This window comes from Homo sapiens, chromosome 1, assembly GCF_000001405.40.
Source record: "Homo sapiens chromosome 1, GRCh38.p14 Primary Assembly".
Classification (NCBI taxonomy): Eukaryota; Metazoa; Chordata; class Mammalia; order Primates; family Hominidae; genus Homo; species Homo sapiens.
Window position 1 is genome coordinate 50928997 of NC_000001.11, and position 27649 is coordinate 50956645.

The 27649-nt window shown below is 40.7% G+C and overlaps 1 protein-coding gene across 3 annotated transcripts in view, besides 1 other annotated feature; it reads right to left on the reverse strand.

Annotated features, from left to right (window-relative positions):
* The window catches only part of FAF1 (Fas associated factor 1), a 523240-nt gene that overhangs the window by 491969 nt on the left and 3622 nt on the right, over positions 1–27649 (reverse strand). Inside the window, exon 2 of one of the 3 annotated variants that reach the window (XM_047442745.1) lies at positions 5283–5352. The exons of the other annotated variants lie outside the window; for them this stretch is intronic. The gene's annotated coding sequence lies outside the window, so the exon portion shown is untranslated. The remainder of the gene's footprint in view (positions 1–5282; positions 5353–27649) is intronic. 3 annotated transcript variants of the gene reach the window in all.
* Positions 23657–24231: an enhancer, noted in NCBI's record as "H3K27ac-H3K4me1 hESC enhancer chr1:51418325-51418899 (GRCh37/hg19 assembly coordinates)". NCBI's record gives its function as "activates a minimal SCP1, AML or CMV promoter by ChIP-STARR-seq in naive H9 embryonic stem cells {active_cell/tissue: H9 hESC(naive)}" and the evidence as "EXISTENCE:reporter gene assay evidence [ECO:0000049][PMID:30033119]".

Consider the following 27649-nt stretch of genomic DNA (forward strand, 5'->3'; position numbering starts at 1 on the left):
AGGAGGCACAGGTTGCAGTGAGCCAAGATCATACCACTGTACCCCAGCCTGGGTGACATAGCAAGACACTGTCTCAAAAAAAAAAAAAAAAAAGAAAGAAAAGAAAAAAAAACTGGGAAGGCTAGCAAAATGATTCTTTTTTTAATCAAAATAAAAAATGTTTTGAATTATTAGGAAATGATGTGTTTAATAATACTCTCAAAGTATATCCCACAATATTTAATAGAGTTTTATTAACAGAATTAAAACAGAAAGTTCTTTCATCATTCATACAATTTATACATAGGAAAGCAGAAGGAGTGGGCTCCCAAAACAGTGCTATTTAAGTTCTACATTGAGTACTAGTATATAAATTTTATCCTGGATAGTTTTAAAAAATGATACTTGAGCAAGAATTAATGCATGTTTTATGAATATATGTGAACTAAAAGATCTTTGGTTGATAAAATTGTATTCAGATCCCTTCAAAAAAATAAAAATTTCCCTAAATTTTACACACTGTTTATATTATATCTTTTGGTAACAAAAACTAGAGAATAGATTCATTGTAAGAGCTTACATTATCTTTTCTATCCACAAGAGGGAGCAAACATTTAACACATCTTGGGAATTTCATTACATGCTAGTTTTCACACAAGACTTTCAGGAAATAATAAAACTGCCAAAAATATTCATTGAATGTCTATCATGTGCCAGGCATAGTGTTAGGGTCTGGAAATATAGTGGGAAAAAGATGTGGCTCCTGCCCCCACGATTCACAATTATTCAGGTAACAAAGTACATCTAAAGATTTATAAGATTATTTAAAGGAACACAAACCATACTTAGCTTTTTTATAATTATTATAAGCTATAACTTATAAGTATTCTGTCTTACCAGAAGCTACAAATATAATGTAACGCTATACAAATTGTCAGTAATTTACAGTCTACAACTCTTAAAAAGCAAATAACATATATTAGGCAATTTATCGCATAAAGAATTAAGCACCAAGATGCAAATACCTTCTTTTTTCCAAGTAGACTCCAATGATCTATGCCACTCATTTTTTTCATTTAGCTTAACCAAAATGTTAGCAAATTAACATTTATTTAGGGTAATCTGGGGGTGTAGTTAACAAAGCATTTCAAGAGAGGGATATCTTTGAAATGTACTGATAAGTAGTAAAATCATAATGCCAAAGTGGGAAATTCTCAATTACAGCCTGTTAATGACATTTTAATACATCTTGGTTCTTTTGTTTTAAAGAAGAATGGATTCCAAAAGGGCATAATGAGCTAAGCAGGTGACCTCAGGAGAGTTCTTCCAAGTAGGTGTGTTTATACAGCAGCAAAGTTTAGGGTACAGTACTATTCAGGAAGGTATATTGGCAGGAAACAATGTGTAGTGGAAAAAAAGCTCTGACTCAAAGCACAACTAGCTTCAAATGCAGTTTTACCATTTAACTAGCCCTGTGACTTTAGTTATTAACCTCTCTGAGTCTCAGTGTTCTCACTCATACAATGGTAATAACAACAATCTTGCAAAGCTGCTGTAAGGATTAATAATAATGCAGGTGGCCAGGCACAGTGGCTCAAGCCTGTAATCCCAGCACTTTGGGAGGCCAAGGCGGGTGGATCACGAGGTCAGGAGATCGAGACCATCCTGGCTAACACAGTGAAACCCCGTCTCTACTAAAAATACAAAAAATTAGCCAGGCATGGTGGCGGGTGCCTGTAGTCCCAGCTACTCGGGAGGTGGAGCTTGCAATGAGCCGAGATCGTGCCACTGCACTCCAGCCTGGGAGACAGCAAGACTCCGTCTCAAAAAAGAAAAAAAAGTAGGTAAAGCACCAAATAGCCCAATTTTACAATAAGAAAACTAAAGAAGGCAATATAACTTAACTAGGGTTAGAAAGCAGAAAAACTGTGTGCCAGAACTTCTTTATTTTTAGTAATACTCCTTAACTTGAAGTCTTAGTCTAACATTATTAATTAATTACAGCAGATTTGTTATGATTAGTGTCTACATGATATATTGTTTGTCCATCCTTTTATTTACAACCTAGAGAAGCATCTTTATATTCCAGATGCTTCTCTTATACGAAATATAGATCAATATTTAATTTTCATCCAACCTGATGGTCTCTACCTTTTGATTACTATTTACCCTATTTACATTTAATGTAATTACTGATATGGCAGTAGTTTACTGTAAGTTTACTATCTTGGTTCTCAGTTTACTATCTTGGTTCTTTTATTTTGTTTTCAATCTGTTCCAATTGTTTTTCTTATTGTTATAGTTTCTTATCTGCATTGTTTATACTTTCTTATTGTTATACTTTCTTATCTGCATTCTTTAGGGTTGAGCATATGTATTAGTTTGTTTTCACGCTGCTGATAAAGACACACCCAAAACTGGAAACAAAAAGAGGTTTAATTGGACTTACAGTTCCACATAGCTGGGGAAGCCTCAGAATCATGACAGGAGGTGAAAGGCACTTCTTACATGGTGGCAGTGAGAGAAAAATGAGGAAGAAGCAAAAGCAGAAATCCCTGATAAACCTATCAGATCTCAAGAGACTTATTCACTATCACAAGAATAGCACGTGGGTGGGCGCAGTGACTCACACCTGTAATCCCAGCACTTTAGGAGGCTGAGGCGGGTGGATCACGAGATCAGCAGGTTGAGACCATCCTAGCTAACACAGTGAAACCCCATCTCTACTAAAAATACAACAACAACAAAAAAATTAGCCAGGCATAGAGGCAGGCGCCTGTAGTCCCAGCTACTCAGGAGGCTGAAGCAGAATGGCGTGAACCAGGGAGGCAGAGCTTGAAGTAAGCCGAGATCGTGCCACTGCACTCCAGCCTGGGTGACAGAGCAAGACTCTGTCTCAAAAATAAATAAATAAATAATAATAATAATAATAATAATAATAATAATAATAATAGCACATGAAAGACTGACTCCCATGATTCAATTACCTCCCCCCAGGTCCCTCCCACAACATGTGGCAATTCTGGGAATAATAATAATAATAATAGCACATGAAAGACTGACTCCCATGATTCAATTACCTCCCCCCGGGTCCCTCCCACAACATGTGGCAATTCTGGGAGACGAAAATTCAAGTTGAGATTTGGATGGGGACACAGCCAACCATATCATTCCACCCATGGCCCCTCCAAATCTCATGTCCTCACATGTCAAAACCAATCATGCCTTCCCAATAGTCCCCCAAAGCCGTAACTCATTTCAGCATTAACCCAAAAGTCCACAGTCCAAAGTCTCATCTGAGACAAGGCAAGTCCCTTCCACCTATGAGCCTCTAAAATCAAAAGCAAGCTAGTTATTTCCCAGATAAAATGAGGGTACAGGTATTGGGTAAACACAGCCATTCTACATGGGAGAAATTAGCCAAAACAAAGGGGTTACAGGGCCCATTCAAGTGTGAAATCCAGCGGGGCAGTTAAATTTTAAAGCGCCAAAATGATCTCCTTTGACTCCAGGTCTCACATTCAGGTCACACGGATGCAAAAGGTGGGTTCCCATGGTCTTGGGCAGCTCCGCGCCTGTGGCTTTGCAGGGTACAGCCTCCCTTCTAGGTGCTTTCACAGGCTGGCACTGAGTGTCTGCAGCTTTTCCAGGCACAGGGTGAAGCTGTTGGTGGATCTGCCATTCTGGGATCTGGAGGATGGTGGCCCTCTTCTCACAGCTCCACTAGGCAGTGACCTAGCAGGGACTCTGTGTGGAGGCTCTGACCCCACATTTCCCTTCCCCACTGCCCTAGCAAAGGTTCTCCACGAGAGCCCCACCCCTGCAGCAAACTTTTGCCAGGGTATCCAGGCATTTCCGTACATCTTCTGAAATCGAGGCAGAAGTTCTCAAACCTCAATTCTTGACTTCTGTGCACCCGGAGGCTCAACACCATGTGGAAGCTGCCAAGGCTTGGGGCTTCTACCCTCTCAAGCCATAGCCCAAGCTCTATGTTGGCCCATTTCAGCCATGGCTGGAGCGGCTGGGACACAGGGCACCAAGTTCCTAGGCTGCACACAGTACTCCTGGGTCCGGCCCACAAAACCACTTTTCCTCCTGGGCCTCCGTGCCTATGATGAGAGGGGCTGCTGTGAAAGTCTCTGACATGACCTGGAGACATTTTCCCCAGGTAACATTAGGCTCCTTGCTACTTATGCAAATTTCTGCAGCCAACTTGAATTTCTCCTCAAAAAATGGGTCTTTTCTACTGCGTCAGGCTGCAAATTTTCTGAACTTTTATGCTCTTTTGTCCTTTTAAAATGGAGTGCTTTTAACAGTACCCAAGTCACCTTTTGAATGCCTTGCTGCTTAGAAGTGTTTTCTGCCAGATACCCTAAATCATCTCCCTCAAGTTCAAAGTTCCACAAATCTTTAGGGCAGGGGCACAATGCCACCAGTCTCTTTGCTTAAAACATAACAAGAGTCACCTTTGCTCCAGTTGCCAACAAGTTCCTCATCTCCATCTGAGACCACCTCAGCCTGGACCTTATTGTTCATATCACTAATAGTATTTTTGTCAAAGCCATTCGACAAGTCTCTAGGAGGTTCCAAACTTTCCCATATTTTCCTGCCTTCTTCTGAGCCCTCCAAACTGTTTCAACCTCTGCCTGTTACCCAGTTCCAACGTCGCATCCAAATTTTCCAGTACCTTTTCGGCAACGCCCCACTGTACTGATATCAATTTACTGTATTAGTTTGTTTTCATGCTGCTGATACAGACACATCCAAAACAGGGAACAAAGAGAGGTTTAATTCGATTTACAGTTCCACATGGCTGGGGAGACCTCAGAATCATTGAGAATCATGACAGAAGTTTTACATGGCAACGGCAAGAGAAAAATGAGAAGGAAGCAAAAGTGGAAACCCCTGATAAACCCATCAGATCTTGTGAGACTTATTCACTATCACGAGAATAGCAAGGGAAAGACCAGGCCCCATGATTCATTTATCTCCTCCTGGGTCCCTCCCACAACACGTGGGACTTCTGGGAGATACAATTCAAGTTGAGATTTGGGTAGGGACACAGCCAAACCATATCAGCATATTTTTAGTAATCTATTTTATCTCTTCTATTAGCTTTTTAACTATATTTCTCCTATTTATTAGTGGTTGTTCTCAGAATTACAATATCCCTCCAGAACTTATCAGTTTACCTTGAGTTAATATTACCGCACCCCATATAATGTAAGAACCTTACAATACTTCTTTCCTTTCTGCTACTGTTGTCACATATTTTACTTCCACATAATTTTTTAAATACTTACCCATATATATGAAATTTTCAGTGTTCTTCATGTCTTCTGTAGATCCATATTTCCATCTGATACCATTCCTCTACAACCCAAAGAAATTTCTTTATAATTTCTTATAATATGCAGGTCTGTGGGCAACAGATCTTCTCATATTTGATCATATAACACTGTCTTGGCCAGGTATGGTGGCTCATGCCTATAATTCTAGCACTTTGGGAGGCCAAGGCAGGAGGATCACTTGAGCCCAGAAGTTTGAGACCAGCCTGGGCAACAAAGTGAGACCCCGTCTCTACAAAAAAATTAAAAAATTAGCCAAGCATGGTGGTGCACACCTGTGGTCTCAGCTACACAAGAGGCTGAGACAGAAGGATCACATGAGCCCAGGAAATCAAGGCTGCAATAAGCCATGTTCACACCACTGCACTCCAGCCTGGGTGACACAGTGAGTTTCAAAAATAATAATAAATAAGTGACTGAAAAAATTTTAAAGTCTTCACTTTTGGTTTTGAAGGATAATTTTGCTGAATATAAAATTCTAGTTGATTTTTTTTCTTTCAACACTTTAAAGATATTATTCCATTATCCTCTGTATTCCACTGTTTCTGATTAGACATTAGCTATCACTCTTGTCACTGTTCTATTCATGAATGTTTTTCCCCCTCCTCTGGATGTTTTAAAGATTTTTCTCTTTATCTTTGGTTTTTAGCAATTTGATTATGATGTGCCTACATGTGATTTTCCTTGCATTAAACCTACTTGGTATTCACTAAGCTTCTTAAATCTGTATATTTATGTCTCACACCAACTAACTGCAAAGGTATTGAAAAATGTGGCAATAAGATCCATATAACCAACAAGAAATATTTGAGAATTGTTTTAAATAGGAGAAATGGTAGAATTTCAAAAGGAGAGAAAAACAAAAATTAAGATAACTACAAACTTTGTATGCTGCCATCAATTAATGCCAAAATTTTATAATTAATAAAGATGTTGGCCTATACATATTTTTCTAGGAAGGATGATCATTACAAATCACCATGAATTCATTATGAATAGTTCATGCCAAAATATTTTTTGATAGATAACTTGACTAGCATGTCAAGAATATAACATATATTTCCCAGGCTGGTCTCAAACTCCTGCCTCGGCCTCCCAAAGTGCTGGGCTTACAGGCATGAGTCATCACCCCTGGCCTGATTTACTCTCTCTTTTTTTTTTTTTTGAGATGGAGTCTCATTTTGTCACCCAGACTAGAGTGCAGTAGCAGGGTATCAGCTCACTGCAACCTCTGCCTCCCAGGTTCAAGCAATTCTCATGCCTCAGCCTCCCAGGTAGCTGGGATTATAGGCACCCACCACCACGCCCCCAGCTAATTTTTGTATTTTTACTAGAGATGGGGTTTCACCATGTTGGCCAGGCTGACTCGAACTCCTGACCTCAAGGGATCTTCCTGCCTCAGCCTCCCAAAGTGCTGGGATTACGGGCATGAGCTACTACGTCCAGCCAGATTTATTCTTAAAGCTAACACATAGAAGTAATTATGAACGCTACTAGTGATGTGGTATATTTGCAGCATCAATGTTTTCATCTGATTTCAACTTCATTTGCCCCATTTTAATAAGTACTGACATCCTGAAATTTCCTAGGCAATGTACTAGGTACTAGTAATACTGAGATGAACATGACACAGTCCCAAACCTCAGGGCACTCAGACAGTGTTAACTAACAAACTAATGTCCATTTACATATGCAAATGACAGAAAGCTAAAACAGCTGCATTCTGATGACAAAATAAACATCCAAAGACCCAACCATTATCTTTTCCTTCTTATTTCAACAAGCTCAAAATTAACTAGTTCAGCTCAATTTAATATTCAGTGAGAACGTACTATGTGCCAGGAAGCATGCCAGGTACCAGAAATAGCAAAACAAGTAACATATACTTCCTGGCTGTAAAGAACTCACAAATTAGTAAGAAAGACAAACAGATATTTACAAAGTAATGTGATAGCTATAATGACAGATGGATATATAGGAATGAGAAATACATATGGGTATTGCAGATCTATTTTTTTAAAAAAGAAGAAGAATGAGAAATACAGAGGAGGGAGTAAGTAACTGTCAGAGAAGACTTCACAGGAGATAATAATGCCTACACACAAGTCTATGAAGACAGAGTCAGGCAAAACTAAGAGTCAGGAGAACTGACAAAAGCAGAGACACAAAATGACGTAAGTTCAAGAAAATTACAAGCATCAAAGTATTACTACAGCAGAAGGCATAGGGCATATAAGGCCAAATTACAAGGAGCTTTGTTAGCCTGCCAGTGAACTCGACCTTCATTCTATGTAAGCAATTTAATATGAAATTCAAAGGAGGACAGAAATGAGGCTGCTGCTTTTGGACTTAGCAGCTTATATTTAATGGATAGTGAAAACCAAGGAAAGGATGATTATTTGGAAACCACATGGGATGCGGTAGAGTGGAAAGGAAAAGGGGACAGGACAGACTCTTCATGTACATTAATGCTGAAGAGAAGAAATATGAGGGGAAGGAGAGAGAAACATGGAATCATCTAGAATAAAACATAGGATCAATGAAAGGTATTTTTACACTGGGAGAAACTTGGCAAATTTTTAAACCTGAAATAGGCTGAGAAGAGGGAGTCAGACGAAGCAGAGATGCAGAAGCCAAAGGAAATGTAGGAGAAAACCAATGGAGCAAATTCCTACAGAGAATCATCTCTGTAGGAATTTAAGAGCAGGTAGAAAGATTCAAGTTGACAAAGTTCTTCATTGAGCTGGAGAAATTCAAATGATTGAATTTAGGATGAGGGAGGTATGCCTTACTCAGGTGGGATCTTTATGTTACCACCCACTCAATATGTGTCAAAATTTTAAGGTATTACTATTAATTGTGCATTAATAATAATACAATGTGCACAACTAGGTGAAAGTCCACTCTACTGTATTCCAGATCTCTTTTGGAATATTGTATTGACTCTTGATCTCTTCTTTTGAAGTGTTTCATTGACAGACAAGCACATCCAGAGGGGAGCTAAGTAGTAAGAGTGGTGGAAAGAACTGAAAAATTAGGACTTAGATAAGAGTTAATGCTAACATAGTTGCCTTCATATGGTGGGGTGGGGCGGGGCGCAGATTCTGTATAGGTCCAGAGTAAATCAGTAAGTTACAAAGAGGTAAAATTTTATTAGCTGCCTTACAAAGTAGTGATCCCCTAATTACCAAAATTTTCAAGCAAAAGATGGACATGAGGAAAGATACAGAAGGGATTTCAGCCCTGGGACTTTGTACCATATGATTCTCATGGTTTTACCAACCATCTGATAGATAGTTGTATTTTGCCCTATGACATATCTAATATTATTAGTTTAAAGTACTACATGAGTATACCCATTTTAACCACTGGAGCCAAGTTCTATATTCCTTTATTGTTATTCTGCACTACAATTATTTACAAGGATTTTAAGAAAAATGCCCCTATCTTAATTTTTGTATCTCTTCTTCCTCTTCCTAATCCCTATTCACCTGTACCTAGTATAATGCCTGCCACAGAGCAGATAATCGAAAAATCTTTGTCAAGTGAGTGAAAATATGAATAAAAACCATGTCGGGTAATATGTATTTCTCTGTATTCCTTACATCCTTGCATCACAAGACATGTGAGGTCATTTAAATATCTGTTGAATAAATTAATGCCTGGTATACCCTCAGTACATACTGATTTAAAGCAGTAAGAATTAAAGACACTGTTTTTTTATTAGGCACAATCGCTTATACTGACAAAACTCCATGATATACCCATCTGTCTTCTCTGACCACAATGCCAACCATACCACTAAGAATATTCTGAGTAAATGTCTGGTTAGGCAAGCTCAGAACATCCTATCTGACATTACTATAGCAATTGTGGAAAATAACTAAAAGCCAGGACTCTACAGTTTCACACATTTCCCATGGGTAACAAATAGCAACTGCAAGACAGACGTTCCCTGGCCAGGAGGGAGCTCCTTGCCACTACCTTCATAAAGGTCTCCTAAAAACTCAGTAGGAATGTATATGAAACTGAGTCCTAGGACCAGCTATGTATGTCACCAGTACCCTTTCATCAAAAGATGGCTCTGTATCCATTATTAACTCAGGGTACCCCCAGGATCCATCCCCTGGAAATGCTATGGCTCTGCTATAAACATACACAATCTGCATAGACTTGCAAATATTTTCTCCCATTCTGTAGGTTGTCTGTTTACACTGTTGATAGTTTCTTTTGCTGTGCAGAAGCTCTTTAGTTTAATCATGTCCCACTTGTCAATTTTTGTTTTGGTTGCAATTACTTTTGGGGACTTAACCAAAAATTCTTTGCGAAGGCCAATATCAAGGATATTTCCTGGGTTTTCTTCTACTAGGATTTTCCTGGTTTGAGGTCTTTCATTTAAATCTTTAATCCATCTTGAGTTAATTCTCATATATGGTGAAAGGTAAGGGTCTAGTTTCATCCTTCTGCATACAGCTAGTTATCCTAGCACCATTTATTGAATAAGGGGTCCTCTCCTCATTGTTTTTGTCAGCCTTGTCAAATATCAGTTGTAGAAGTGCAACTTTTATTTCTGAGTTTTCTATTCTGTTCCATTGGTCTATGTGTCTGTTTTTGTACCAGTACCATGCTGTTTTGGTCTCTATAGCCTTATAGTATACTTTGAAGTTGGGTGGTATAATGCCTCCCACTTTGTTCTTTTTGCTTAGGAATGCTTTGGCTATTTGGGCTCATTTTTGCTTCCATGTGAATTTTAGAATAGTTTTTTTAGTTTTGTTAAAAATAATCTTGGTAGTTTGATAGGAATAGCACTGAATGTATAAATTGCTCTGGAGAGTATGGCCATTTTAATGCTATTCATTCTTCCAATGCATAAGCATGAAATGTTTTTTCATTCATTTGTTTCAACTTTGATTTCTTTCAACAGTGTTTTGTAGTTCTCCTTGTAGAGATTTTCACGTCCTTGGTTAACTGTATTCATAGGTATTTCATATTCTTTGTGGCTATTGTAAATGGGATTGTGCTCTTGATTTGACTCTAAGCCTGGGCGTTACTGGTGTATAGAAATGCTACTGGATTTTTGTACACTGATTTTATATCCTGAAACCTTGCTAAAATTGTTTAACAGTTCTAGGAGCTTTTGGCAGAGTCCTTAGGGTTTTCTAGGTATAGTTTGACTTTTTCATTCCCTATTTGAATGCCTGCTCTGGCTAGGACTATGTACTATGACCAGTACTATGATGAACAGGAGTGGTGAGAGTAGGCATCTTCATCTTGTCCCAGTTCTCAAGGGGAATGGACCCAGCTTTTGCCCATTAAGTATGATGTTGGCTGTGGGTTCATCATAGATGGCTGTTATTACTTCAAGGTATGTTCCTTCCATGCCTAGTCTGTGGAGGGTTTTTATCATGAAAGGATGTTAGATTTTATTGAAAGCTTTTTCTGCATCTATTGAGATGATCATATGGTTTTTGCTTTTAATTCTGTTTATGTGGTGAATCACATTTATTGAAGGTCATTTTGAAGTAAATTCTAGATATATCATTTCACCCATAAGTATTACAGTATGTCAATAAAAGTACTTTTTTATTTTCTTGTTTTTTTCTTTAAGACAAGGTCTCACTCTGTCATCCAGGCTGGAGTGCAGTGGCATGATCTCAGCTCACTGCAACCACTGTCTCATGGGTTCAAGTAATTCTCGTGCCTCAGCCTCCCGAGTAGCTGGGACTACAGGCACGTACCACCACATCTGGCTAATTTTTGTATTTTTTTGTAGAGATGGAGTTTTACCATGTTGCCTAGGCTGGTCTCAAACTCCTGAGCTCAAGCAATCTGCCCACTTCGGCACCCCAAGGTGCTGGGATTACAGGCGTCGAGCCACCATGCCCAGCCACAGGACTCCTTTTCTTAAAACCCAGTAAGTACATTACCAGATTTAAAAAAAAGTTATTTCATATCATCAAATATCTATCCAGTCAGCATTGGCAGAGTATTTTTACTATATTATTCCAAAGTAATCAGTAAGCATTATTTTACTCTTCTAAAATACAATGCAGTTTACAACAAAGTTCACATGTATCAACTTGCCACTATACCATTATGTTTCTGTTGTTCATTTGTTTTGTAGAGATGAGGTCTCAATATGTCGTCTAAGCTGTTATCAAACACGTGGTCTCAAGCAATTCTGCCTCTGCCTCCCAAAGTGCTGGGATTATAGGCATGAGCCAACATGCCTGGTCTACACCATTATTTTTGTTTCAAGTTCTACTACTAGGACGTTGGGAATATACCCAAAACTGACAGTATGCCCAGAAAAATTAAGCAAATTACTTTGCATTGATATAGATTTATACTAACATAATTATTTACAGGTACTTTCAGTACTTTCAAGAAAGAATTTTAAAAATGAAAGTAATGTACAGGCACTGATGAACGTAAAAGTGACGTAAAAATACTAGTAACTACGTAATCTCAGTAGCAACCATTGTCACACACAACTTGAAGATAAGCAGTCAATAAGCTCTCATTTTTTGGGAAGATTTTGTTTCTCCATCTCTCTATTAGCCTTGGTCAATCCAGGGACACCAGCAAAACTACACTGTCCTCTCTTTTTGCATACCATAAAGCTACAATAAATTTTAAAAATCACCTTTAAAGAATAAAGATAAAGAAGGGATCAAAAAATACTTGGATGCAGTTTGGGGTTTTTTTGGTTTTTTTTTTTTTTTTAAGACACAGTCTCACTCTGTCACTCAGGCTAGAGTGCAGTGGCACAATCTTGACTCGCTGCAACCTCCATCTCCCAGCCTCAAGCAATCCTCCCACCTCAGCTTCCTCAGTAGCTGGGACTTACAGGTGCGCGCTGCCACGCTCAACTTTTTGTTTTGTTTTGTTTTGTTTTTGGAGACAAGGGCTCACTCACTCTGTTGCCCAGGCTGGAGTGCAGTGGTGTGATCTCAGCTGACTGCAACCTCCGCCTCCTGGGTTCAAGCGATTCTCGTGTCTCAGCCTCCCGAGTAGCTGAGACTACAGGTGCCAGCCACCACGCCCAGCTAATTTTTGTATTTTCTTTTTTTGGTAGAGATGGGGTTTTACCATGTTGGCCAGGCCAGTCTGGGACTCCTGATCTCAAGTGATCCACCCATCTCAGCCTCCCAAACTGTTGAGATTACAGGCATGAGCCACCGTGCCAGTCCTCAGCTAATTTTTCAAGTTTTTTGTAGAGACAAGATCTCACTATACTGCCCAGGCAATACTGAATTCCTGGGCTCAATCGATCCTCCCACCTTGGCCTCCAAAGTGCTGGGATTATAGGCATGACCCACTGAGCCAAGTTTGGATGCATTTGAATTTGCTTTATAAAAGACAATGTGGTAAAGTGCAGTACTTATTAATAATTTTTCCACAACTGTGGGCATAACAATAGAAGGGAAATATGTTCCCTCATTGGAGGGAAACACGTTCCCCCATTGGACCCAAAGAGAAGCAAGCTACCTCCTTACAATGTCTTTGAAACCTAATTTTCTATTTAAAATTCATGTAAATTTTATACATACTTTGTGAAAATGATTTTTAATATTTTTTAAAACCATGTATTTCTTTTTTTATTATGCCAGTAAACTGCAGCTGAGTACTGCCTAGCATACCCATTTGAGAAAATGTGGATATATAAGGTCATACATACATTTTACTTTGTAGTCGAACAAATCTGAGTTCCAATCCCACCCTTGTTACTATCTGTCATTAGATAATTACTTAACCTCTTTACCCCTCCATGTTCTCCATCTTTATATGGAAATAACAACAATGGCTGTTACAAATTAGATGGCATATAACAATTAGATGAGATAATGCAAATGAAACAGTTATCACAGAGCCCAACAGAAGGAAAACGTTCAGGCCAGATGCGGTGGCTCATGCCTGTAATGCCAATACTTTGGGAGGCCGAAGTGGGCAGATCGCTTGAGCCCGGGAGTTTGAGACCAGCCTGGGCAACATAGTGAAACCCCATCTCTACAAAAAGTGTATATATATGTACACATAAATTAGCCAGGTGTAGTAAGCCATGATGGTGCCACTGCACCACATCACATGTAAACTTTGTTGTAAACCACACTGTATTTTAAGGAAGGGGAGGGGAGGGAAAGGGAGGGGAAAGGGAAGGGAAGGGAATTAAATGTTCAGTAAATGTTAGTTGTAGTTATTATAATTACTATCTCTAAGATCAATATGCAAAATGAGGGATTACCTACCTTGCAGGGTGGTAACAACTACAAAAAAGCTAAGAATCCACCCTACTTACTGGCAAGCTAACAACCTGGCCTGTTACAATTTCATGGATATTGGAGGAAGATACAGGACTCCTAAGACAAGGACAAAGCAATTTATTCCTCACAATAACGGCAGCCAGAGTTTTAGTTGTCGTTGTTTTTTTTTTTTTTACAGAGTATCAGCAATTTTTACACCAATTCCCAAGGCCAATTTCCCATAGGGTGACACAGAGTGGGCCATACATCATGGATTGCGTTACGGGAGAGGAACCCTGTGCTTAGGGAATGTGAATCTTTCATAATGGACTGTAAGCATACCTGACCTTTGCTGTGGAGGGAGAAAGTATCTTTACCTTCAAGGTGCAAGCAACCAGCCCTCTGGGGAAACACTATCTAGTCTGGTAGCAATATAACATCCTTGAGAAGAAAATCTAGAACAATCAGTACCCTATTCACAAGATGTGCAGAAACATACGAGACATAGAGAATTGTGTCCCAACAACATCCACTCCTCATTTCTAACCATCTTGGCAGCTGATAAATTTTCTCACAAGTATGCCACTATCAGGCACTCTGATTAATCCAACTGACAGAGGCTTGAACTAAATCTGATCAATTGGTATCATACATCATTTAATTAAGGCTACTATCAACAAGACTCCAAGCAGCAGGATGAGGTCAATTTTCAGAACTGATTTCAACCATGTTTCTTAGAATCCCACACCCAAATAAGATAATGAAATCCCATAAGCCATCAGGGTCTACCTCAGAAAGCCAAGTAGCTTTCTGTATTGATCTTTCCTTTTGGCCTAAGATATTAATCTAGGAACAATAAGATATATTAGTTAATTGTACAGACTCTGCCTTGGCTCACAAGAAAAAAGTCCAGGGCAATTTTATCATCCATAATAACTCTTGTCAGTGAATTGAGGCAGACCTTAATGCCTTCCAGGGCCAAGGTGTTGTCATTGGTTAGTTCAGTTAAAAAGTCAGGAATGAATTTTGCACTGCCTAGTCTAATTGAATGACTCCCCTTATAAAGATAATTCTTCACAGGGTGTGCCTAAATAACTAATCAGTTATCATTCCAGGAAGTTTCCCCAAGCAAGCAAGCATGGCCTCATTTTAGAGAGCTCTACACAGTTATCTAAAGGCAACAAGATTTAATGGTGTTTCCTTAAACATTCAAAGGTAGAGGAAGGTCCATGTTTCTAGGAGGGAGATAAGCTAATACCTGGGTTACACAAAAGAAGTACAGTCCCAAGGACACACATGGTACATCGGAAAAGAGAGGGTTGTTCAGAATCACTAGGTCTTTCTAAGGAGAACCTACATCAGTCAAGGAGGCATTGTCAAATTGTGTCGCAGCACAAGGTTCCCACTCAGTTCAGTTCAGAACAGTGAGTCTAGTCCTTGTTTTTGAAAGGACTGAATGATGGCAGTCAGTCCAATCTGTCCCATTTGTCCAGGCCATAAGCCAGGTGGCCAAAATCTACCCCACAGAATCTGAGTGAAGTTGATGAGATGGGAGTAAAGAAGTGTTCACAGGTGTTTTGCATGGAAGGTACATGACCTGGAGCCAACCACTGCTGTTTCCAGTAGACCTCCCAGTAAGTTTACAGGGAATGACAAATCATGATCAGAGCCATGGGGGATGGCAGACCCAGCAGGGATGGCAGACCCAGCAGTCAGCTAAATTTAATGTGATAACAACAATTTGGAGGAGCTGCACCAGAGTGTTTTCTTTATGAGGAAGGCTTCAAGGGCGATTCTGAAAGAAAATGAACATTAATGTCTTTACCTTCTCTAAACCTCCTGGGGTCTAAGATGGTCCCTCCACCAAGTGTCAGGATTGCTGCTCTCTGTCCATTGCTACAAAATCAGTATGTCCCATTCCAGCAGCTATAACTTCACCTTTTTCCCAATCACCTTTTACTCACAACACCCAGACCTTTCATCTGGAAATGTCAGGCGCAAGAGGGTCAAGGGAATTTGCATAAAACCTACAGAAACCCATTATGGTCCCCACTGTCTACCATACAGAGACTCAGCAAGCAGTATACTCAACCAAATAGTCACTATCCTGATGACCTAGAATAATATCAATTCAACAAGAGAATCTAGGTAACTGAACAAGAATTAAGTCTGAATTCCTTAAGCCATCTTTTGGCCTAGCTGCCACATAGAAGATAGATACCAACCAGGCTGGCCTTGGGTTGTTACTAGGGGGTAAAAAGAAACATCATGCCTAAAATTGGTCAGGGTGGAATCCTGAATTCTCAAAATAGGGCTATATAACCTCCCACCCCTTCCATTCTGATCATTACTCAGGAGTGATCAAGACGAGATAATCCTTTTCTGGGGACAGCTACAATCAGTGGCAAAACTGGCTTTCTAATAAGTAAGGTGTGTGGATCAAGAGGAGGTGAAGGATGTAGAATCAGAAATCGTTGAGTCAATTTTTGAAGAAGCTGTTCCAATATTCAATGTTTATCCACATACCAGATGCCTATGAACGGCAGGGAGCATGGAAGCATCAAATACCTTGACAATCAGTTCATTGCTGAGTGGCTTGTACGATAAAAGGTGCACTACTGTTAGACTGCAAACAGTCCAGAAAGCCAAAAGTATAACACAGATTGGTTTCTAGGGTCACGATGGCGTGGCCAGAGCCAGCTGATTGGACTAGAACAGCAACATCAAAACCATAAAAAAAAATGGCAACAGGAGTGAGGCACCACTGATAGGAAGCTGGCTGAATAGGCAGGTCAAAGGTCCAATGTATTCAATCTGCCAGGAGCAAGCAGGAGCCACATCCCATGCCACTGGCTTCTCTCATCATGTGACAAACGGTTAAACTTTTAGCAGGAGGCACAAGTCTGGCATGTAATGGCACCCTCTGTGTCACAGTCCTTTGCTTTGTGTTCAGTTTATGATAGTTGATATTCGTCATATCCAATATAATGAATATGGCTCTGGGCAGTGTACACTCAATCAGAAGCTTGATTCCAGTGGGCTTCATCAGAAGACAGGCCCTTACTAAGGGCATCTAGATGAGTGATCCAGATGGTTTGATCAGCAAGTATAATTTGTTTTCATAGTTCACAGCTTTAACAAGAGCTATCTTTAACTTGCCAGTCTATAGCTTTCCAAGTGGCAGACCAAAGAGCTAGGCCATTAGCAACAGGCAAAGGTCCGTAGAAATACAACAAGTTTCATCAAGAAGAGTACCAATCAGAGCTATAAGAAAAGCCTTGAGTTCTGTCCAGAGAACAGAGCAATCACATCCATTATCAGTCTGCATAGCTAGTACAGAGGCTGAACAGCCCTAGAAGTCAAGCAGACACAGTAAGCTTTCAGCTTGACTAAACCATCAGCAAACCAGGACCAGGTTTAGGGTGAAACCTCTATGAATTAATGACCCCACTGAGCTGACGGCTTTGCTTCAGACAGTGAAGTGGGAACTAAAGTTTCCTCCAGAGGACGGGCTGAGCCATAAGACATTATGCACTCCATCTCTCAGGCAAAGCAAAATTCTAACAACTTTCTTTTCTGCCCACGTTAAGTTACAAATTTGCCTCCTTTCACACTCAGTGTAGGTACACATACATCTGTAAGTCTTGTCTGAAAGGGAACAGAAGCTTTTGCCCAATCAGGACAAATCTCCCTAAGTTGTTACACTGGGGAGGATTTGAGGGTGACCTCCAGATTGGTGAAAAATATCCTCCCCACCCAAAGGAGAGTTGGCAACAACCAGAGGAATGTTCAGGCAGCTATCTTTGAACCTATGTCCTGGAACTCAGTCTGTAACCACTTCCCCAATATCTCGTCATTAATAGGCAATAAAGTAGAGAACCACTTAATTTGGGCAACATGTTTCTACCAATTCCCAAGGACTTCCCTCAAATTCTGTTAACCAACCTATGAAGACACCCTCATCTTTCTTCTTCCAGAATGTCACGTGTCTGTCAACATCCATCCTTGCTGCCAAAACTTAAAAACTAAAGGATCTGAGTTTTATCCTGCTAGCAAGCTAACAACTTAGCCTGCCAGTTTCGTGGATGCTGGCAGAAGACATTGACTCCCAGGTCAGAGACAATGAACTTTATGATTCACAGCAATATTAGTAGTCAAAGTATCAGCATGTTCTTGTGCTGGTTCTCCAATCCCATTTCCTATAGGGCAACACAAAATAGACCAAGTGATACCTGCACATGCAGTGGAATGCAATACAGAAGAGGAACTCACAGCCTAAAGAACCCAAATCTTTTAGAGTGGAAAGTATGCCTACCTCCCTTCACCCAAGAGGGAGACATTATCTCTATCTTTCAAGGCTGTTAGGAATACAAAAATCTTTGGAAAGATGGAAAAAAAGGCATTCAGTGCCTCTGCTGAGAAGATATACAGAAATCATTCATGGAGAACCATATCACTATATCCCAATAAAAGATCACTGTAAAGATTAGATGTTAAGAGCCTAGCACAGTACCTGACATATACAAAGTAACCAAAAGCTAGAAGTTACTGCTATTACTCTTTCCCTATTAAAGAAAGGATACATCTAAAATTGATTTTAAAAAACAAATTCAACCACTACTTCCCTTAGGGAAAAAGAGGATGGGGAGGGCAAAAGAGAAGAAGCTTTCCTCTCACTAACACTCTTCTATTATAGTTCAATCATTAAAGAATCCAGGGAGCCTGGATGAACTGCAAAGAGAAAAACTAGGTGACTCAAACCCCACCTGAAAGCCATTAAGGTGCACATAACCTGAAAACTCCTCCTTCTTCCTTTACCACAACCTGACATCTCATTCTTCCTATCTCTATTATTCCCCCATAACCACAAGTAAATATAAAGCCAGGTGTAATTATTCTGTTAATTTTACCAGACTGCTTTTTGAAATTAACTCAAACTCACCTTAAAGTCAATGACTAGTGATTTAACATGGTGAACAATTTTGACTTGAAAATAAAATGTATGCCTTAAAATCCATTTGAGAATGAAATTATAATCAGGAAGAGTGAATAAAACAGCAAATTCAGCAGCAGCATTCAAATTTTACAAAGTTCTTGGCCTCAAGGCCTATATTTTATCACATCTTATTGAGCCCCTCAATAAAAGCTAAACAAGAGCAGAAGTGTTTTGTACTTCTCTATATATGCATCACTTTAAAGTTACAACCCTCAATTTAGTCAAATCTTTATTTTCTCAATGACAGATTTTATTATTCAAAATCATGTCAATGATAGATATCAAAAATACATAAACATTTACAATTCTATTCCATTTGTACCATAACAGCCTAAACTAAGAATATTCCTTCAGTAAATAGTCACTGAGCACCTTTTACTAGATACTGTAGGAACAGATGGTTAAGATCCAGACAGTTGTTTCCCCAACAGAGCTGACAGTACGAGAAAGAAACATGTAAATTGATCACTGACAATCTAACATAAGACTCAAAAGAAGAGAGATGTACAAAATAGAAAAGAAACTATTAACCCTAACTGGGTACAAGGTATGAATGTTACAAGCAAAAGGTAGGAGGTGGTTTTTGAAAGAGAAATAGAAACTTTCCAAAGGAACATGAAAAGTAAGGATCCAAAAATGTGAAGTCATGAAACAGCCTAAGCATCAAGCATCAGTATACTGAAATATACTCTGTTAGTCCATTCTTGTGTTGCTATAAAAAAAATCTGAGGCTGGGTAATTTATACAGAAAAGAGGTTTGTTGGCTCATGGTTCTCAAGCTATACAGAAAGCATGGTGCCAGCATCCGCTAGCTTCTGGTGAGGGCCTCAAGGAGCTTACAATCATGGTGTAAGGCAAAGCGGGAGACAGCCTCTCACAGTCAACCCAGACTATCACATGGCAAGAGAGGGAGCCAGACAGAGAGAAAATGGTGAAGATCTCAGACTCTTATTTCTTTTTCTTTTCTTTTTCTTTTTTTTTTTTTTTTGAGGCAGAGTCTTGCTCTGTCGCCCAGGCTGGAGTGCAGTGACGCGATTTCAGCTCACTGCAACCTCTGCCTCCCAGATTCAAGCGATTCTCACGCCTCAGCCTCCCAAGTAGCTGGGACTACAGGTGCACGCCACCATACCCAGCTGTATTTTTAGTAGAGATGGGGTTTCACCATGTTGGCCAGGCTGGTCTTAAACTCCTGACCTCAAGTGATCCACCGGCCTTGGCCTCCCAAAGTGCTGAGATTACAGGTGTGAGACACCACACTTGGCCCTAGACTCTTAAACAATCAGATCTCACGTGAACTAACTGAGCAAGAATTCACTCATCACCAAGGGGATGGTGCTAAGCCATTTATGAGGGATCCACCCCCATGATCCAATATCTACCTCTAGGACCCACCTCCAACTTTGGAGGTCACATTTCAATATAAGATTTGGAAGGGACAAACATCCAAACCATGTCATAAAACGTTTTGCTAAGTCACAGAAATGGAACAGTACTTAAGATCACAAAATCAAAGAATCACAGGAATGGACGGAATTTCAAAAGTCATCTAGCTCAGCAATTCTCAAGTGTAGTCCTTGGATCAGAAGCATCAGCATAACCAGGAAACCTGGTAAAACATGCAAATTTGCAGACCCTACACCAGACCCACTGAGTCAGAAACTCTGAGGTGGGGGTCCAGCAACCTGTGGTTTAACAAGCCCTCCAAATTATTCTGATGCAAACTAAAGTTTGAGAACCATTAGTTTAAATCAGGATTCTCCAATACTGTCAACATTTTGAGCCAGAAAATTCTTTACTATCGGGCGATGCCTGTGCATTATAGAATGTGTAGCAGCATCGTTTGCTTCTGTGCACTAAATGCTAGTAGCAGCCCGAAGCTGTGACAACCAAAGTGTTTCCAGACATTGCCCAATGTCCCCTGGGGGACAGAAATCACCCTTGGTTGAAAACCACTGATCTAGATCAAGGATCAGCAAACTCTCCTAAAAGGAGCAGGGTAAATATTTTAGGCTTTGCAGGACATGCAGTCAACTACTCAACTCTGCTATTAAGGACAAAAATAACCAGAGACAACATGTAAACATACGTGCACGACTATATTCCAGTAAGACTTTATTTACAAAAAAAGGTGGTGGTTTGGCCCTCAGGCTGTAATATTCTGACCCCTAATCTAGGTCAGTTATCTGAATTACAATTGATTGTCCTCAGTCCCACGGCTGCCAAGTGATTCTCTGGATTCTATTTGGCCTGACCTAGTCCAGTCTTCTGCTTACAGGTACATATAGCTCTACACAGATTACCATTCTTTTTTTTTCGAGACAGGGTCTCTCTGTCACCCACCCAGGCTGGTGTGCAGCGGTGCAATCATATCCTCTTACCTCAGCCTCCTGAGTAGCTAGGACTACAAGCACATGCTATCACACCCAGCTAATTTAAAAAAAAAAAATTTATTTTTTTTTGTAGAGACACGATCTTGTTATGTTGCCCAAGCTGATCTCAAACTCCTGGCCTCAAGTGATCCCGTGCCTCTTCTTCTCAAAGTGCTGGGAATACAGGTGGGAGCCACCACACCTGTCCCAGATCACCATTTTATAGACTGAATAAATGAAGCCTACAAAAGGCAAATGACTTTCTCAAAGAACCACAGCTAAGAAAACCTAAAACAAAACAAAAAGACAACAGCTACAGCCAGTCTACCTAAGTACAATGTTCTAACAACTGCCCCTTATGGAGGTGTAACCACATATTGCCACCTAGCAGGCATTCAAACACTCCAGCCCTCTGAATTTACTAAAACCTAGAAAAGTACTGATTTCATGGGGGGAGCGGAGAAATAACTTTACCTTAAATGCCCAGACAGTAAATATTTTAGGCTTGTAAGGCCATTAAAATCTCTGTCTCAACTACTCATCTCTGTCACTCTAGCAAGAAAACCACCACAGATAAAGGTAAATGAACGGGTATGGCTGTGTTGCAATAAATCCTTATTTATAAAAACAGGCAGCTGGCCTGCAAGATATAGTTTGCTGACCCCTGATCTACAAGGTCCATAAAACCAGTCAGGCAAACAACAGGCATCAACTCTATCATACTCAGCTAATCTAGAGACACTATGTGCATTCCAAGGCTTCTGAACACCTGTGAACACAGAAGCATGGCACTAAATGGTAAACAAGGAATAGACAAAGTGCCACCTTTCTCTTCCTTCCTTCCTTCCTGAAGATCTACTACATGACAGCCAAGCACTGCTAATTTATTTTATACGTAAGTTTCCTCATTTGTAGAAATTTCTAAAGAGCAGTTTTTGTTTTCTTCAAGAACTCCAAGCTGACAAATTAGCTGGAAAATGAACACTCTTATATGTACCTGGATAAAATATTTGTTTCAGCCAGGCAAAGTGACTCATGCCTGAAATCCCAGCACTTTGGGAGGCCGAGGCGGGCAGACCACTTGAGGTCAGGAGTTCGAGACCAGACTGGCCAACATGGTGAAACCCCATCTCCACTAAAAATATTTAAAAAGTTAGCTGGATGTGGTGGCACACGCCTGTAATCCCAGCTACTCAGGAGGCTAAGGCAGGAGAACTGCCTGAACCGGGGAGATGGAGGTTGCACTGAGCCAAGATCACGCCACTGCACTCCAGCCTGGGTGGCCGAATGAGACCCTGTCTCAAACGAACAAACAAACAAAATTTGTTTCAAACCAACCTATGACCTTGTACAAGTCATTTCTCTTTTCTGGGTCTCAATTTCCACAAAGGGAAAACTGGTAAGCTTCAAATAGATGATCTCTGAAGTTCCCAACAGAGAACAAGTACATACCTTAAAACTGTCAAAAATAACAGCTAAAATTTATTGAACACTTTCTATGTCAGACACCTTTTCTAATCACTTTACATGTGCTATCTTATTTTTCATATGGGGAAACTGAGGCAGAGGGGTGTGAGGTGATTGGTCAAAGATCACCAGAAGAGTCAGTGGTAGGGCTGTGATTTAAATACAAGTGGTCTGAATCCAAAGTCCATGTCCTTAACCACCAACCATTAAATTTAATTCTACATGCAAAAACCTTATTTTCCCAATGACCTACAACCCAAATACTAAAACAACATGATTTGTCTCTTTAATAAATAAAGAGGACAGAGGAGAAAGGAAAGAAAGGACAGGTAACAAGATTACTTGCTCCCAGGAATGAAAAAATATGATGTTCCATGGATACTTAGTTTGGTCCCTAATCCGCAACATCACAAAAGATATCTGTTTGGATCAATACCATTTCTGCTCACACAGTCTGGTATTGTCTTTTGTAGACAATATTTCTTTGTGTCAAACTAAAAAAGAAAGAAGTGGGATTCACAACTCCATTTAGAAAGAGAAAATATTATAAACGGACAGAAACTACTTATGTGTCACTCAACGTAAGTGACTTACCAGTATGCAACAGAAAAGTCCATATTTCAAAGAGGAGCTCATATGCAAAGTTTCAAAGACCCATGGTGATAACCCAATATAAGAAAATTTGGCCCTCTCCCTCTCCCCTTTCTACGGTCTCCATCTCCCTCATCTCCCGTTTCCACAGTCTCCCTCTGATGCCCAGCCGAGGCTGGACTGGACTGCCGCCATCTCGGCTCACTGCAACCTCCCTGCCTGATTCTCCTGCCTCAGCCTGCCGAGTGCCTGGGATTGCAGGCGCGCGCCGCCACGCCTGACTGGTTTTCGTATCTTTTTGGTGGAGACGGGTTTTCGCCGTGTTGGCCGGGCTGGTTTCCAGCTCCTGACCGCGAGTGATCTGCCAGCCTCGGCCTCCCGAGGTGTCAAGATTGCAGACGGAGTCTCGCTCACTCAGTGCTCAATGTTGCCCAGGCTGGAGTGCAGTGGCGTGATCTCGGCTCGCTACAACCTCCACCTCCCAGCCGCCTGCCTTGGCCTCCCAAAGTGCCGAGATTGCAGCCTCTGCCTGGCCGCCACTCCATCTGGGAAGTGAGGAGCGTCTCTGCCTGGCCACCCATCGTCTGGGATGTGAGGAGCCCCTCTGCCCAGCCGCCCAGTCTGGGAAGTGAGGAGCGCCTCTTCCCGGCCGCCATCCCGTCTAGGAAGTGAGGAGCATCTCTGCCCGGCCGCCCATCGTCTGAGATGTGGGGAGCGCCTCTGCCCCGCCACCCCGTCTGGGAACTGAGGAGCGTCTCTGCCCGACCGCCACCCCGTCTGGGAGGTGAGGAGCATCTCTGCCCGGCCGCCCCGTCTGGGAAGCGAGGAGCCCCTCCGCCCGGCAGCCGCCCCGTCTGGGAAGTGAGGAGCCCCTCTGCCCGGCCGCCACCCCGTCTGGGAGGTATACCCAACAGCTCATTGAGAACGGGCCATGATGACGATGGCGGTTTTGTCGAATAGAAAAGGGGGAAATGTGGGGAAAAGAAAGAGAGATGGGATTGTTGCTGTGTCTGTGTAGAAAGAAGTAGACATAGGAGACTCCATTTTGTTCTGTACTAAGAAAAATTCTTCTGCCTTGGGAGGCTGTTAATCTATAACCTTACCCCCAATCCCGTGCTCTCTGAAACATGTGCTGTGTCCACTCAGGGTTAAATGGATTAAGGGCGGTGCAAGATGTGCTTTGTTAAACAGATGCTTGAAGGCAGCATGCTCCTTAAGAGTCATCACCACTCCCTAATCTCAAGTACCCAGGGACACAAACACTGCGGAAGGCCCCAGGGTCCTCTGCCTAGGAAAACCAGAGACCCTTGTTCACATGTTTATCTGCTGACCTTCCCTCCACTATTGTCCTATGACCCTGCCAAATCCCCCTCTCCGAGAAACACCCAAGAATAATCAATAAATACTATAAAAATAAATAAATAAATAAATAAATTTTTAAAAAAAGAAAAAAAAGAAAATTTGGCCAGACGCAGTGGCTCACAGCGCCTGTAATCCCAGCACTTTGGGAAGCCACAGTGGGTGGATCAACTGAGGTCAGGAGTTTGGGACCAGCCTGGCCAAGATGGCGAAACCCCATTTCTACTAAAAGTACAAAAATTAGCCAGGCGTAGTTGGTTCTCGCCTGTAATCCCAGCTACTTGGGAGGCTGAGGGAGGAGAATCGCTTGAACCCAGGAGGCAGAGGTTGCAGTGAGCCAAGATCACGCCACTGCACTACAGCCTGGGCAACAAAAGCGAAACTCTGTCTCAAACAAAAAAAAAGAAAGAAAAGAAAATTCATCAAGCAATTTAGGCAGCAAAAAGTATTACTAGCTGAAAAGACTAGGGGTGAAAAACAAAAGCACATTTGTGTGTTACAGAAAACATAACTGAAAATAACATCAAATCAATGCCAAATTAGAGAAGAAATAAAGGGACTCTTAATCTATGACCAATGGAACTAAATTCAGAAAGAATACATTTTTTTTTTTTATTTGAGACGGAGTCTCCCTCTGTCGCCCAGGCTGGAGTGCAGTGGCGCGATCTCGGCTCACTGCAAGCTCTGCCTCCCGGGTTTATGCCATTCTCCTGCCTCAGCCTCCCGAGTAGCTGGGACTACAGGTGCCCGCCACCATGCCCAGCTAATTTTTTGTTTTTTAGTAGAGACAGAGTTTCACCATGTTAGCCAGGATGGTCTCAATCTCCTGACCTCGTGATCCACCTGCCTCAGCCTCCCAAAGGCCACCACGCCAGGCCAAGAATACTTTTCTAGCAAGGCAGATAAGGGCTTCTCAGAAAGTCTAAAACAAAATATTACTACTAGTGAGAGTTGTTCTTTTTCTTTCTTCACTTGAGTACAGCTATGATGTCTGCCTCTGTATTAACAGCAACAGAGAAAAATAAATAGAAAAACAGGTAACACCAGGCCAGGTGTGTTGGCTCATGCCTATAATCTCAGCACTCTGGAGGCTGAGGTAGAAGGATCACTTAAGGCCAGGAGTTCAAGACCAGCCTGGAAAACGTAACAAGACCCTGTGTTTCTAAAACAATAAAAAAATAAAAAATTTTGATTTTTTTTTTTTTTTTTTTTGAGAGAGTCTTACGCTGTCACCCAGGCTGGAGTGAGGTGAAATGATCTTGGCTCACTGAAACCTCCACCTCCCAGGTTCAAGTGATTCTCCTGCCTCAGCCTCCCACAGCTGGGATTACAGACACCAGCCACCATGCCCGGCTAATTTGTGTGTGTGTTTTTAGTAGAGGCAGGGTTCCACCATCTTGGCCAGGCTGGTCTTGAACTCCTGACCTCAAGTGATCCGCCTGCCTCGGCCTCCCAAGGTGCTGAAATTACAGGTGTGAGCCACCATGCCTGGCTTAAACATTTGTTTTTAATTAGCCAGGCTTGGTGGCACACATCTGTAGTCCCACCTACTCAGGAAGCTGAGGTGAGAGGATCACTTGAGCCCAGAAGTTCAAAGGGGCAGTGATCACTCCATTGCACTCCAGCCTGGGTAACAGAGTGAGACCCTGTCTCGCCAAAAAGAAAGAGGTTAAGGAGGAGAAGACTCTAGACCAAAAGAAGTAACTGATATTATTGAAATTATTTGATAGCAATCGCAATTATTTGGATAACTATTTTCACATATGTAAGCAAACCAAATAGGGTCTCAAAAGTTTCAGACCAAATGATTCATGTTCTCTACTTCAGCCTAAAAAAAAGTTAAAGAATTCTACAATTACAAAAAGAACAGTTATTCTATAGTTACAAAAAGACTTGAAACTTTCACCTGAATGCATCTCTTTGTTACAAAACCATTAAAGGAGGTAGGGGGAACTTCATGATTCATCAATGCTGCCTGCTTTTTTAAACCCAGGAAATTCCTTTACACCCCCTCCTGGCTCTGGCCAGCAAGAACTGTAGGTGTACTACTCTAGTCATTCCTTTATCAGTAACATACTATGTACGTGTAAAACTGATTTTTGGTCAAATATTCCAAATTCTAAATTCATTTGCTCAGAGCTGATTTTTAAAATAATTTATTAAACAGGATGCTGACATTCTCTCCATTCAAAATTTTGGTGGTGCAGCCACTATAGAAAACAATATGACAGTTCCTCAAAAAAATTAAAAATAGAATGACTATGTGATCCAGCAATTTAACTTCTGGGTATATATGCAAAAGAATTGAAAGCAGAAGCTGGAACATATATTTGAACACCAATGTTTATGGCTGCATGATTCACAGTACCTACAAGGTAGAAACAACCTAAATGTCCATGGAAGGTGAAAGAATAAGCAAAATATGGTATATACATACAATGGAACATTATTTAGCCTTTAAAAGAAATAAAATCCTGACGCATGCTAACATATATGACTCTTGGGCACATTATGCTAAGTGAAATAAGCCAGTCACAAAAAAGGGCAAATACTCTATGTTCCACTTATATGAGGTACCTATTAATAGAAGAGTCGAATTCAGAGATAGAAAGTAGGATGGTGGTTGCCAGGGGCTGAGGAGAGAGGGATATAAGGACTTATTGTTAAATAAGTACGGTAACAGATTTTCAAGATGAAAAGCTTTCTGGAGATGGATGGCAGTGATAGTAACAAAGCAAAATGAATGTACTTAATGCCACTGAACTGGCATTAAGACTTTAAAATGGCTAAAATGGTAAATTTTATAAGGATTGTACCACAATTTTTTTTTCATTAACAGATTGGGGGAGGATTTTCTTAGAGGACAATTTGGGGTAATATTTGCTTTGTAATAAATTCACCCATCTATAATATTCCAAATCTATCCCATTAAGTCTGAGCTGTAATCTTCCACCCACTACTTATCACCACTTCACTGATTTCAACAGAATTCTTTTCTCTATTGACTTGAAATAGTCAAAAAAAAATACAAAAATCCTTCTCAAAGGTTTTTCCACATTTAGACACAGTATCTAGCAATGATCAAAATGTGATTTATTTTCAAATTCTAATCAAATTTGGAAATTATGTCTTTCCTACAAAGATAATACTGAGCTCTCAAACTATTATTGAGTCTCACAATCATATGATATAAACATGTAATTTTACCATATTCACTTTTGGTGAGGAAACTGATTTGCCCAGTTACAGAAGAAATCAGTGTCATCCAAGTATCCGTATGCCAAGTCTTAAGCTGCA